Raw genomic sequence first — 14,711 nt, forward strand, 5'->3', positions numbered from 1 at the left:
CTGGTTATGTCTTATCTGGTAGGTTCTATGAGTTATACAAGGCTGGTTATTAAAATAAAACTGGAAGTCATTACAGCAATGTAGCCATCAAATGCGCGGGTGGGAGGGTGTTATAAAACAGCATTAGGAGATTGTCTACACCCAGACAGGGTAGTAGTGGTGAAGTACACAAGCCTTGGAACCCGTTAGGACTTCCCCCATACAACTGTTTCACTTTGAACAAATCCCTGTACCTCTCTGAGTCTCCTTTTCTTCACGTACATAAATAAATGGTACCAAACTCCCAAGCTTATTATGAGGATTAAATGAAATGATACTTAGCCTAGAGTCTACGTATAAGACATGCTCAGTAATTGTTCCTATTATGACGCAATAAAGTGAGTTTGAGCTCTCTGAGCCTCAGTTACCTAAAATCCTTAAATGTATGGCTAAAAATCTTAATTTCCATGAAAGCTGAAAAGCATCTCACATCTAACAGCAATGCTTCTATAGATAAAATTCCAATCACAAAAGTATAAAAAATACAAGTTTCATTTATAAATACTTTTTAAACAAAGTATTTGATCTTGTGCATCATAAAAGCGAAAGGAATTATTTTCTCCTCTCTGGATCTAAGACCATAGAATACATTCTTTTAGACAAAAATTTTAAGTCTGACAAACTATGCAGGGAAAAAAAAATCAAGCACATCCCCAAAGATTTCTGCCTGCAAGCAGTCTTTCCCACTGTGCTCAGTGACCTCATTTTTCAGCTGCAGATTCAGCTGAAAAGGTGGAAAAAAAAGTGACGGGTAAAATTTGTTTTATTATTGTGGTTGAGAGAAGACATAAAACCAGAGATTAGGGATGTAAAAGCTGGGTTAATTTCCACATATCCTAAACCACTGGAAGCATGGTTGAGCCAGTAAGAAAAGGTCACAGCAAGGTATTTGCTGTGGTTTTCTCAGCTCTAGGATTGAATAAAGAGTCAGTGGAAGTGAACATTGGAGGACATAGATTCTGGTCCTAATTTTTGTTAACTCTGTGATTCCAGAATTATCCTCAAATTCCCAGGAGGAAGGTAAACCCCTAACGTGTGTCCCAGCATCATCTCCACTGGCCCCCTCCATCCCATTCCCCACACTAAGCCCCAAGCTAAGTGATCTTTTCAAAATATAAATTGCACACAGCCTAACACCCTCCATGGTTGCCATTCCTCACAGGGTAAACACAAAAGTCTCAGCAGGGGTTCCAAGGCCCTGGATGGTCTAGCCTGTGGCTTGCCTCTCCAGCCCCAGCTCATAGCCTCCTTTTACTCCCTCTACCCAGCCACACTCTCCTACTTTCTTACTCATGACATGGCCTCCTCTACAGAGTCTTTACACATGCTGTTCCCTCTGGCTGGAAGGTCTTTCCCTCCTCCATTTACCCAGTTAATTTCCATTCAACCTTCAGATTTCAGCTCAATATTTACTTCTGCTACAGTTACTATTGCCATGAACACCCACTCTAAAACTTATTAACTCAAGATAATCAGAACTTCTTTCTCTCATAAATCTGCAATTTGAGTAAGGCTCAGAGGGGCAGCTCACAGGACCCATTTCCAAGACAGCTCACTCACATTGGTGGCAAGTTGTATTTGGCTGTCAGTTCGTGAGCTTGGTTCCTTTCCCTGTGGGCCTCCTCACAGGCTGCCAGCTTCCCCACAGCATGGCAGCTGAATGCTGAGTGAGCATCCCAGGACACAGGAAGGAGAGGTTGCCAGTTCCTGGTGCCCGGAATCACATGACTTCTGACATATTCTGTTAGGTCAGCTGGTCACAGAGCCAAATGAACATAGACCTACCTCTCGATTGGAGAAGTTTCAAAGAATTTGGGGGACATGTTTTGAAATTTCCACAACTTCCTCAAGGAAGTACAGTATTCCCTGGTTTCCATTTCAGTCAAATTTACTATTCTAGGCTATTAAAGCACTTTCTATTGGAACACTTATCACAACTGTGTGTTTGGTTGTACCCATCTCCCCCACTAGACTCAGCTTCGGAAGAGGAGAGGCTGCATCTGTTTCATACATTGCTGTATTGGCAGCCCCCAGCTCAGAGAAGAGGTTCAATAATTATTGGTAGAAATGAATGAATCAGGGAACCTGTCAATGATCCAATCAATGAAAGTACTTACACTGCAGCTCAGAAACTAAAAGGCCTTCAGGTAACAGGCAGATGGCATGAATTAGAAAGAAAGGCAGAGAGTGAGAACAGGGATGCTTGTGTTTGGGGTAACTGAAGAAGCACACACCTCATTCAAAGCAGTCTGTGGCCCATCATTCTTGTGTAGAAACACAGGTCCCGAGTGGCCAGAGCTTTCAATTTTTTGAAGGCCAAAGTTTTTTCATTTTTATGTGACATCTCCCAATTTTAAAATACAGACAATTGATTCAATTGCACACACGCACACACACACACACTCACAGAGAGAGAGAGGAGAGAGAGAGAGAAAGAGAGAGAAAAAGAGAGTGGATTAATTAAAATATATCTGTGGGCTGAATTTGGCCATGGACAGAAAAATATATACCCCACAGCCAGGTGCAATGTCTCACGCCTGTAATCCCAGCACTTTGGGAGGCCAAGGCAGGTGGATCACTTGAGGACAGGAGTTCAAGACCAGCCTGGCCAACATAGCAAAACCCCATCTCTACTTAAAATACAAAAAAGTAGCCAGGCATGGTGGCACATGCCTGTAATCCCAGCTACTCGGGAGGCTGAGGCACGAGAATTGCTTGAACCTAGGAGGCAGAGGTTGCAGTGAGCCAAGATCACGCCACTGCACTCCAGCCTGGGTGACAGTGAGATTCTGTCTCAAACAAACAAACTATATATATCATATGACTCAAGCATGACAACAACCACCCCCCCCCAAAAAAAATCCTATTTTCTATAACGGAAATGATTTGCTCTGCTGTAATGGTGAAAGAAAAAACACCTAAATATGGTATTAAATTGCTGTTTCCAGAACACAGCTGAAAATATACCTTGTCTGGCCCTTGAAGCAAACATTTCCAACCCTAGTATAATATACTAGTATGCCGCATGATTTATCTTGTTTATTCTCTTGGCTCTTCTAGAGATTATATACTCCATAAGGCAGGGACTTTTTTTTTTTTTTTTTTTTTTGAGACGGAGTCTCACTCTGTCACCCAGGCTGGAGTGCAATGGCACGATCTCAGCTCACTGCAACCTCTGCCTCCCGGGTTCAAGAGATTCTCCTGCCTCAGCCTCCCGAGTAGCTGGGACTACAGGCACTTGCCACCACGCCCAGCTGTTTTTGTATTTTTAGTAGAGACAGGGTTTCACCGTGTTAGCCAGGATGGTCTTGATCTCCTGACCTTGTGATCCACCCGCCTCGGCCTCCCAAAGTGCTGGGATTACAGGCATGAGCCACGGCACCCGACCGAGGGCAGGGACTTTTATATGCTTTGTTAAGGAACTGCATCTGAAACCCTCATCCCTCCAGCAGAAATTATTTGCCTGATACATAGTAAGTGTCCAGTCATATCTGCCGAATAGACCGTGGCAAGAGAAGAAGGTGTTCAAAGCTACTGCTCATTGTTCACATTGTTTCTCTGTCTGCTTGTCCTTCAGCACATATGATGATGAGAAGTTGAAGACACTGGGAGCTAGAGTCACACGTCGCCCATTCACTCCCATCCACAGCTGCATCATTTCTCCCTCGCTAACCGAGGCTCACGTGTAAGTAGTCTCACCTCCAGCTCATTTGCTTTGCTAGCTTATAAATTGAAGCCGAACTGAAATGACTCAACGAGCTGTCATGTCAGTAGCTGTTCCTTTGTCCTCTTGAAAGGGACATGGAGCCTGGAGCTGGCAAAGCTATTTGGCATATAAAAATAACAGAAAGTAGACACAGTGGTTTACAGCTAAGTGGCAAATCAGCTGGGACTGAGTCATTTCATTTCTTGCCAAGCCAGACGCTCTAATGTCAAATAGTTTGCAAAGCCTGATAAAATCTGTCTACAGCCCTCATCGAGTGTGTGCGAGAACATCTCAGCCTGTGCTCAGGGGCATGTTTTCCCCAAGACTCAAGGAGCTGTTTCCCAGAGAAGCCCATCCAGTTTTCTGACCTGAGGCATGAACTCATCATTGTGTGGTGCAACAGGAACTAATCAACCTTCCAAAGAACACTCTTGCTTTCTAAAGTCTTGATGTCTTGTTCCCCTTGTGTCTATTCCAAATCTCAAGCCCAACTTTTTCTTTTTCACCAGTTAGCACTTTTCAGCTGGAAGATTTCAGGCACAGGGATACAAGCTTCTGACTTTAGGGCAGGGTTTTTCAGCCTTGACACCGCTGACATTTTGAGAGAAATAATTAATTCTTTGTTGTGAAAGGCTGTCCTGTGTATTGTAGGATGTTTAGCCGCATCCATGGCCTCTACCCACTAGATACCAGTGTTGACAACCAAAAATGTCTCCAGACATTACCAAATGTCCCCTGGGAGCAAAAGTGCATGAGCCCCCACCGTACATCATACACACACACACACACACACACACACACACACACACACACACACACACACTCCACATTGAGAACCACTGCTTTAGGGCAATGGATTCATTTAGAGCTGTGATACAATGATTCCAGACTTCTCTGTCTGCTCATTTGTCAAATATTTATTAGGCTTCTACAGTGTTCACAGTGATAATGGCCACTCCTCATCACTCTGTAGCATTATCTCACTCAGTCCTCTCAGCCTCCCTGTTGTGTAGGTGTATCATTATCCCCTCTCTGCAGATGGGAAAGCAGAAGCTCAGAGACATAAACTCACCTATTCAGGGTCACAGAGGTCAGTGTGTTGCTGAGTCAGGTCGGTCTGACTGCAAAGCCCAAGCTTTCATCACCACACACTACATAGAACATATATCCCAAAGCCTTGTCTTTAAGGAGCTCATAATATATTTGGCAAGCCAAGTTTCCTATACTTGAAGAGTAAAAGAATACAAGAGTGAAATCATAGGATAAGATGGCAAACAAAAGAAAATCACTAATAAGAGTACTTAGTTCATGAATGGAAGATGCAAAAACCATCACCAACACCATCATCATCATCACCATCATCCTCATCACCATCATCACCATCACCATCATCATCATCATCACCATCACCATCATTATCACCATCATCATCACCAGCATCATCATCATCACCATCATCCTCACCACCATTATCATCACCATCATCCTCACCACCACCATCATCACCACCATCATCATCACCATCATCCTCACCATCATCATCATCACCATCATCATCACCATCATCATCACCACCATCGTCACCATCATCCTCACCACCATCATCACCACCATCATCCTCACCACCATCATCACTGTCATCATCACCATCACCATCATCATCACCACCATCATCACCACCATCCTCACCATCACCATCATCATCACCATCATCATCACCACCATCATCACCATCATCACCATCACCATCATTATCACCATCATCATCACCAGCATCATCATCATCACCATCGTCCTCACCACCATCATCATCATCACCATCATCCTCACCACCATCATCATCATCACCATCATCATCATCACCATCATCATCATCACATTGTGTTGGACACATCCTTATCCCTCCCTAATATTTCAGTCATTAATGAGCCCTATCCCACTCCATCCCATCCCACTGTCCCCCTACCTCTCTTTGATTGGTATTATGATTATAATATTCCAGCTGGCAGCCTAAGCTTGATGTTCTTAAAGCATCTCCTTGCAAAAATAGGCCTTGCAATTTCTCATGATGTCTCTTCAGTACACTTGCACTTCTGCCCATCTCTCCCATGGACAAGACTTCTGAAACCAATTGGAATAGAACCAGTGGGCTTTCACTTGCATCTGAATCGTCTGGGGGTGGGGGAGAGCAGGGAGGAAATGTTTCTGAGAATGCATATTCCTGAGCCCAATCCACAATTTATTTGGTCTGAGCCATTGAGGCTTACTTAAATCAGCTATGAAGAGAGTTTCTTACCCATCTTCTGTCAATGTCAGATGGGAAAACTAAAGCCCAGAAAGGGGGAAGAACCTGCCAAAAGTCTCACAACAGGAATCTTTTTTTTTAATTTTTTTATTTCCATAGGTTTTTGGGGAACAGGTGGTGTTTGGTTACATCATTTCTTTAGTGGTGATTTGTGAGATTTTGGTGCACCCATCACCTGGGCCATATACACTGCAGCCAATTTGTAGTCTTTTATCCCTCACCTCCTTCCCACCCCTTTCCCTTGAGTCCCCAAAGTCCACTGTGTCATTCTTATGCCTTTGCATCATCATACCTTAGCTCTACTTATGAGTGAGAACACAGTATGTTTGGTTTTCCATTCCTGAGTTACTTCACTTAGAATAATAGTCTTCAACCTCATCCAAATTGCTGCAAATACCATAAATTCACTCCTTTATATGGATGAGCAGTATTCCATCATATATATATAGTATATATATGTATATATATATGTATATATAGTATATATATATGTATATATGTGTGTATATATATGTATATATATGTGTGTATATATATGATGGAATACTACTCATCCATATATATATATATACACATATATACACACATATATATACATATATATACACATATATATACACACACACACACATACACACACACACACACACATATATATATGCCACAGCTTCTTTATCCACTCATTGATTGATGGCCATTTGGGTTGGTTCCACATTTTTGCAATTGCAAATTCACAACAGGAATCTTGATCTCCTGACAGCTAAGTCAGATCTTTACACCAGGTTTGTTACATAGGCTATTACTATTATTATTATTATTATTATCACAGTGGATGTGGTTCATATTTGTATTGGACCAGGGGTCAGCAAACTTTTCTTTAAAGGGCCAGACAGTAAAAATTTTAGGCTTTGCTGACCAGGTGGTATTCCTTGCAACCACTTAACTTTGCTGTTGCAGCATGAAAACTACAACAATGGATGTGGCTATGTTCCAATAAAGTTTTATTTACAAAACCAAAGTGGCAGGCCCACAGGCTGTAGTTTGCTGTAGTCCCTGTCCAGCACTGAAGGCTGCCTTTTCTTATCCTCAGCTGTTCAAAGGCTCTGGCTGCATTTGATGACTTTATTAGTAAGCTATGGCTGTATTACAGATCACCTCGACATGGAGTGGCTTAAAACAACGATTTAGTATTGCTCCTAAGTCTACATGTCAGCAGGGTGGTTCTGCTGGTCAGGTTGGCTCGGCTGATCTTGGCTGGATGTGCTTATGTGTGTACACCCAGCTGATGGGTGAGCTGGAGGTTGGCTGATCTCGAATGGTCTCATTCATAAGTCTTGGTTAGTTGGTTGGTGGCCAGGGTGACATGGGTGAGATGCTGAATGTCTCTCAATACCCAGCAAGCAAACTCAGACTTGTTCACATGGCAAGCAGAAAGGGTTCCAAGAACAAGATCCTAAGTACCCAAAGCCCCTTGAGGGCAATGACAGTGATGATGATGGTGCTGGTGATGATTATTGCATTTTCCATCTGTGAACTAGGCTCAGAATGAACACAGTTACCCTCTCACCACATTCCACTGGCCAAAGCAAGTCACCAGGCCAGCCTAGATACAAGAAGTATGGGGAAAGACTTCCCTTCTTGTTGGGGGGAAGCAGCAAAGTCACATCCCAAAGTGTGCAAAGCAGAGAGGGATGGCATTGTTGTCATCAGTCTACCAAAAGGCACCAGGGCTGGCCCTGCCTGATAATTCCTGAATTTTCAGTTGTCACATCAGCCAATGCGGATCAGAGCCTGGTCAGTCCCTTCAGTCCCTGTGTGATCGATCCCAAAAGTGGCTGATAATTCCAAATCGACTGTGTAGGGATCAATTCAATCATGTAACAAGAGACTGACCTTTATCTTTAAAAAGGGAAGGGAGTGGTCTCTAGGAATGAGAAGCAGCCCCTCGTTTTTCCCTCCTAGATGACTGGGCTGTGCCCCACAGCCTTTAATGAGTGATTGGGCAGCAAGGGCAATGCCTGCAACCTGTGTCGAGATTTGCCCTTGGCAATCAGCACGGGGTGCTTGGAATGGCTTTGAATGCATTTTCCAATTTCTCTTGTAAAAGAAAAAAAAATGCTTTCTTCTCAGAGATGTTTATGCCCACTAGGATTCTGGTTGGTACAGTAGTTTTAATAGAGTGAGCTATTCAGGTGTGCTGACTGCTGGCACTCGCCCGGAGTTCTGAGCTCAGGGACTTCAGAAGCAGGCTTTGTGTAACCCTGTTCAGCATTTTCACCTCTTATTCCCTGCATTTAAAAAAATAAATGTTCTCTCTTCTAATTTGATAAAATCCAAGATACTATGCTATGACCTGACACATGATCATTATGAGAAAAGACCGATTTCTATCAAGCATGCTTCTGGGGACTTTTTTTTTTTTTTAATTTGTTTCACTGCAGATTAGAAGAGCAATCATCAGGTTTAGGGCACTTTTTATAAACAGAGAAAAAGGACCAGATCTATCAGATGAAACCCTATTCTGATGAAAAGGGAGTCTCTACCCTGTAACAAGAGACAACATCCACATTTTCATTAAGAGCACGAATTCAGAAGCCAGACTGCCTGGGCTCACATTCCAACTCTGCCATTTGCTGTCTTTTGTGACCTTGGATAAGTCACTGAGGCCCTTTATGCCTCAGTTTCCTCATCTGCAAAACGGGGATAATAATAGTACCTTCTTCACAGGATTTTATAAGAATGAACTTAGTTAATGGATATTGGGCACTTAGAACAGTGGTCTGGCATAGAGTAAGGACTCTTATGGGAAATATTTACCATTAGTATTACTTCGTTGTTCTGTTGTTGTTGTTTTTGTTACTACTCTTTATTATCTCAATGGTTCTGTGTATAAGAATTGTGCTCAAGTACAGGTGCAGTGGCTCACGTCTGTAATCCCAGCACTTTGGGAAACTGAGGCAGGCGGATCGCTTGAGCCCAGGAGTTTGAGACCAGCCTGGGCAACATGGCAAAACCCCATCTCTACAAAATACAAAAACTGTCTGGGCAGGTGTCACATGCCTGTAGTCCCAGCCACTCAGAAGACTGAAGTAGGAGGATCGCTTGTGCCCAGGAGGCAGAGGCTGCAGTGTGCCAAAATCACGCCACCGCACTCCATCCTGGGCAACAGAGTGAGACCCTGTCTCAAAAAAAATAAAAAAAAAGAATTGTGCTCAAGTTATCAGTTCAGAAAAATATCAGATCTGAACCAATTCATTCCCACCATTTTCCATCAGTAACTGAAAAATCTATTGAGCTGACTCTGTGCAGAGCACAGAGCACCCTGTGGTGGACAGGACTCTGTAGGTTGTAGGCTCACGGTCTGGAAAGTCAAGTAATCAGGTAGTTACAGCAGAGCAGGAACCCAAAGGTGAGGACAGGGAGGACATATTGTAGGGATGGGGATGCTTTAGAACCTCCTTAGAGTGAGCCCAGCCCAGACCCAGAGCAATCAAGGAAGGCTTCCGGATGGAGATGAGAGCTGAAGCCCAATCACTGAGAGTCAAGAAGGAAGAGGAGCAGGAATATGTATCAGGAGCAGGGAACAGTGCTAAGCACATCACCTCACCCTCACTCTCGCCTTTTAAGAGAGGTACTGCAATTACCACCATTTTACAGATAAGAAAACTGAGGCTCAAAGAAGTTAAGTAATTTGGCCAAGGCCACAGGGCCAGTAGATGGCAAAGCTAGAAGTTTAACATGGATGGTGCAAAGAGCAAGCATGGTGAGCTTGAGTGACTGAGTGGATTTTTGCCAGGCTGCAGGTGGTAGCACAAGGAACAGACAGGACAACTCCAGGCTGGAGAGGCGGACGGGGCCTCATGTGTGTCAGTGGATTAGTTTGCTGGGGCTGCCATAGTAAACTACTAGACTGGGTGGCTTAAAGAACAGAAACGTATTTCCTCATGGTTCTGGAGGCTGAAAGCCCAAGATCAAGGTGCTGTCAGCGTTGGTTTCTCCCAACCCTCTCGAGGTTGGAGGATCGCTCTCTCCCTGTCTTCTCTGTGTCCTCATATGGTCTTTTTCTCAGTGCTCGCAGCCCTGGCGTCTCTTTAGGCGTCCAAATCTCCTCCTCTTATAAGGACACCAGTCAGATTAGATTAGGGACCACCCTAATGGCTTCATTTATAAGTGAATCCACTCTTTAAAGGTCCCATCTCCTAACACAGTCACACGCTGAGGTACAGAGGTTCGAATTTCAACAAATGAATCTGGTATGTCCACAATTCAGCCAATTACAAATTATTTAGGAAGTTTGAAGATTTTAAGCAAGAGAGGGAGAGGGTCAGGTTTGCATCCGTTGTTGTCATCTGCAGAAATGAATCTGATGCTCACATGCCCCGCTTCCCCTCCACCACCTTGTGACCAAGCAGACCCCATCTCACCAATTCACTTCCTTTGTTCATTTCCCTCCCCACCCCACATATCCCAAAGCCCAGGCCTGCAGGGGCTCCAAGCTGCAAAACAGAAGAACCCATAGGCCTCTCCCCCGGCCTCTCACAACCTCCTAGGGTTATGGGGAGGGTATAGTGAGGTGCTCATGGCCCAGTGCCAGGCATGTGGCACAGCTAGCTGCTGCTATTGCTAAATGCTGGACATGGCCTATGTACCCAGACCTACCAAAATGCTGTCACCTGTAGGGCCCAAGAAGGTGTTATGGGAGAAGAAAGAGACAATAACTGAAAAGGGGTCAGGTGCAATAGCTCATACCTATAATCCCAGAGCTTTGGGAGGCCAAGGCAGGAGGACCGCTGGAGGCCAGGAGTTTGACGCTAGCCTAGGCAACGTAGGAAGTCCCCATCTCTACAAAAAAAAATAAAAATTAGCTGGGCATGGTGATGCATGTCTGTAGTCCCAGCTACTCTGGAAACTGAGGCAGGAGGATCACTTAAGCCCAGGAGTTGGAGGCTGCAGCCTGGTGACAGAATGAGAGCCTGTCTCTTAAACAAATGTTTTATTTAATAAAAAAAATTGAAAAAGCTGTGGGCTTACAAGTCCTTTAAATTAGAAGTAAAGGAATAGTAGGCGCTTAGTAGATAATCTGTAGAAGGAAAAGACTCCAGGGAAGAAAGGAAAGAGAGTTTCTCATGGTAGTTTTCCAAAGACCTGGTGGATACAGCCACCCTAGTACACAGAGGTGAGGGGATGGGGTAGGGCAGGGCTGTTCCCCTTCAAGCTAAGCAAATGCATGCCTCTCAAGGATTAGCCGGGATAACCCTGGGCCAGCTCCACACTTGAGCCCAGGGATTGGGTATCACCTTCTGAAGTGGTGCCTTCCTGGAAACAGAGAGTAGAGATACCTTCCTGACCCTGAAAACACCAGGCCTAGGAACCCTGGGGAGTGTTGATGAGGGCAGGATGCAGTTTCAGAGAAGAGCAATTACACAGGTTCTTAATGGAGGCATCTGGCCCATTAGTGTTAAGAGGAGAAATCTTGCGGGGAGGGGGGTGGCTGGCCAGGACTCCACCTTGTTTCCAGGAAAAAGGCAGGCAGCAGGTTAACCCTCTCCTGACCTCGCTCTTGGGGTGACCACTGCATCAGCTTCATCAGCACCTCCTCAGAGCCCAGGCCCGTGAGAGCACAGACATGGAGTTAAATTGACACTGGTTCAAATTCTCACTAATCCTAGCAGTGTGACCTCAAGTCACTCATTGCCCCTCTCTGAGCCTCCCATCCCCCATTGTAAAGAGGAGGTGGGAGCGGTATATTACCTAAAGGATTGTTGTGAGCTTTTTTTTTTTTTTTTCCGAGATGAAGTCTTGCTCTGTCACCCAGGCTGGAGTGCAGTGGCATGATCTCGGCTCACTGCCACCTCCGCCTCTCAGGCTCAAGCAATTCTCCTGCCTTAGCCTCCCGAGTAGCTGGGATTACAGGGGCCTGCCACCGTGCACAGCTAATTTTTGTATTTTTAATAGAGATGGGGGTTTCACCATGTTGGCCAGGCTGGTCTTGAACTCCTGACCTAGTAATCCGCCTGCCTCAGCTTCCCAAAGTGCTGGGATTACAAGAGTGAGCCACCGTGCCTGGCCTCGTTGTGAGCTTTAAATGAGATACTGAGAACCATCTCAGTCACCAACAGGCTCTGTGACCTTAAGCAAAGTGATGGCACCTCTCTGAGCCTCAGTTTCCCCTTCTCTAAAATGTGCATAATAATTCATACTCCAGCAGGTTGTAGGAAGAATTAAATAATGTGTATAAAGTGCCCCCATCAATACCTGCCTCCTTGTAGGTGTTTAATACAAAGTGTCCAAAAAATCAGAAAATGTAGGTGAGACATATGTGGTTTTGTTGTTTAAGACAGTCTCACTCTGTCACCCAGACTGGCATGCAGTGGTGTGACCTTGGCTCACTACAGCCTTGACCTCCCTGGCTCAAGCGATCCTCTTACCCCAGCCTCCCAAGTAGCAGGGATCACAGGTGCATGCCACCACACCCAGCTCATTTTTGTATTTTTTGTAGGCTAGTCTCAAACTCCTGAGATCAAGCAACCCACCCGCCTCAGCCTCTCAAAGTGCTGGGATTACACAAATGCGCCATCATTCCCAGCCTGAGACATATTTTTAAACAGTGTTTTAGTGAATATTTTCAAGTAATATGCTCTTTGTGTTTTTCTTCAAAACCCAGCTACATTTTCAGGCAAAGGACTCATAAATGTAAAGCAATGCATCCCATTTTTAATCTGGGGGGAGAAGAACAATTAATACACTAGTTTCCCTGAGTTTCCAGACTTTTTACACACTCTTAGTTTATTTATTGTACTTTTATCAGATTAACAATTGGACATACATAGGATGCTGATTTCCTTGAAGCCTCTCATTTGCCTGAGTCAAGACTTCCAGCTGGGGGACCCCTTCTTGTTTCTCTCCCTGCTATATATACAAATTCTCAGTAACTGGCATTGGATAATCTCATTTCAAATGGGCTCTATCACCTACTGGCCTGGTGACCTGGCACAACTTCCTAAAGTCCTGTGAGCCTCTGATTCCTCATCTGTAAAATGGGCTACAGAATATCTCATGGGCCCATTGCAAAGGCCAAATGAGATGATACATGCAAAATACTTGCGCATGCCTGGAGCATGGTGCCTGCTCCCTCACTGGGAGCAAGTACCACTACTATTTCTGTGGCTATTTTTGCGAAGAAAGTTGTTCTAACAGGATCCCACTGTGTTCCCTCTCTCTGTCTTTGCAGCGAGCCCCTCTTCCGCCAGCTCTGTGCTCTCCACTGGCTTCTGGAGGCCCTGACTATTGACCACACCCACCACACCATGAAGCCTGTGATCACCTGCTGGAACCCAAAGTATGCCTCAGCCCTTCAACTTGTCTTAGACTAGCAGTAGGCTGGGCAGTGGGGAAGAGATTCCTGTATGTTCTTCCACTCCCTTTGCTGTTTTTGGTAGGTGGGCTGTTTCAGTTCCTCTTCTATGTGCTCTGTGGGATCTGAACAGGGGAGAACTAGAGACAGCTTATGCAGATTCGTGGGAGCCGGTTGTGTGCATCTCCTTCCCACATCTCTTCCCAACTCCACATTCAGTGACATCACATGGGTAGCTTGAAATCAGCCAGCCACATGGGAGTATTTACACCACAGAAATTGGCAAGCTATGGAAGCACATCACTGGATCCACAGCTTGACTGCTCTCCAACTCTCTTCTTGGACTGCGTCTCCCTACACTATTCTTTATTCTTCTTCCTTTTCCTCCTCCTTTCCCTCCCTTTTAATCTTTCTTTTCTTTTTGTTTTTGTTTTTATCCTTTCTTTCAAGGTTGTGTTTTGTTTTGCTTTGGTCTTTTTGTTGCTTAATATACATTGGTGGCTACTTCTCCACTTGGACCCAAGGGAATATTTGGTATTCAGTTCCCTGGAGCAGCTGGGTTTGTACAGGCAGAAGCTCCAGAACATGTTGTCTAGGTCAAGAGAAGCGTTAGGTGTCCGCACCAGAGGAGAGAGCTCACATAAAAGCTTGGACGCCACTGTTGCAGGAACAGCATTGTACACACAGGGCAGAACAAAGAACAGACAGGCATGTAAAGGCATTGGTTCTTTAAGAAGGGTCAGGTTGTTTGCAAGAAGAGGACAAACAAAAGTAAAGAACCCTGACTTGAAGAATCAGTTTTTCACTGTGAAAATCAGAGGCTGAGTTAAATAAAATAGTTCCCCACCCCCCGTGCTAACCCATGCCCTCCCATAGTCCTGCCTCCCAGGTGGATCCAGTCTTCCTCTTCCCAAAACCTGAGTCTTTTTTTTTTTTAGACAGAGTCTTGCTCTGTCACCAGGCCAGAGTACGGTGACGCAATCTCGGCTCACTGCAACCTCCATCTCCCGGGTTCAAGCGATTCTCCTGCCTCAGCCTCCCGAGTAGCTGGGACTACAGACATGCACCACCATGCCCAGCTAATTTTTGTATTTTTCGTAGAGACGGGGTTTCACCATGTTGGCCAGGATGGTCTCAATCTCTTGACCTCATGATCCGCCTGCCTCGGCCTCCCAAAGTATTGGGATTACAGGCGTGAGCCACCGCGCCCGGCCAAACGTTAAGTCTTAATTAACTTCTTCCTCTTGAAGACATTTATTACCCATCCCCTAGATCTCCTCCACCCCCAAGTCATCTCTTACACCAGG

At 44.9% G+C, this 14,711-nt stretch overlaps 1 protein-coding gene and 1 long non-coding RNA gene across 11 annotated transcripts in view, besides 1 other annotated feature; one reads left to right on the forward strand and one right to left on the reverse strand.

The window, feature by feature from the left end:
- The window catches only part of CCDC60 (coiled-coil domain containing 60), a 206,312-nt gene that overhangs the window by 140,749 nt on the left and 50,852 nt on the right, over nt 1–14,711 (forward strand). For 4 of the 7 annotated variants that reach the window (NM_178499.5, XM_017018912.3, XM_017018913.3 and 1 more), the window contains exons 4-5: nt 3,617–3,724; nt 13,282–13,389. In NM_178499.5, the coding sequence (NP_848594.2) occupies nt 3,617–3,724; nt 13,282–13,389 (216 nt within the window). The other 3 variants (XM_017018911.3, XM_017018916.2, XM_017018914.2) reach the window with 3 other exon arrangements.
- Nucleotides 1–14,711, reverse strand: part of PRKAB1-AS1 (PRKAB1, TMEM233 and CCDC60 antisense RNA 1) — a 280,141-nt gene that overhangs the window by 87,491 nt on the left and 177,939 nt on the right. The window lies entirely within an intron of this gene.
- Nucleotides 11,152–11,704: an enhancer, noted in NCBI's record as "OCT4-NANOG hESC enhancer chr12:119924434-119924986 (GRCh37/hg19 assembly coordinates)". NCBI's record gives its function as "activates a minimal SCP1, AML or CMV promoter by ChIP-STARR-seq in naive H9 embryonic stem cells {active_cell/tissue: H9 hESC(naive)}" and the evidence as "EXISTENCE:reporter gene assay evidence [ECO:0000049][PMID:30033119]".

The sequence above is a fragment of the Homo sapiens genome, chromosome 12 (assembly GCF_000001405.40).
Source record: "Homo sapiens chromosome 12, GRCh38.p14 Primary Assembly".
Classification (NCBI taxonomy): Eukaryota; Metazoa; Chordata; class Mammalia; order Primates; family Hominidae; genus Homo; species Homo sapiens.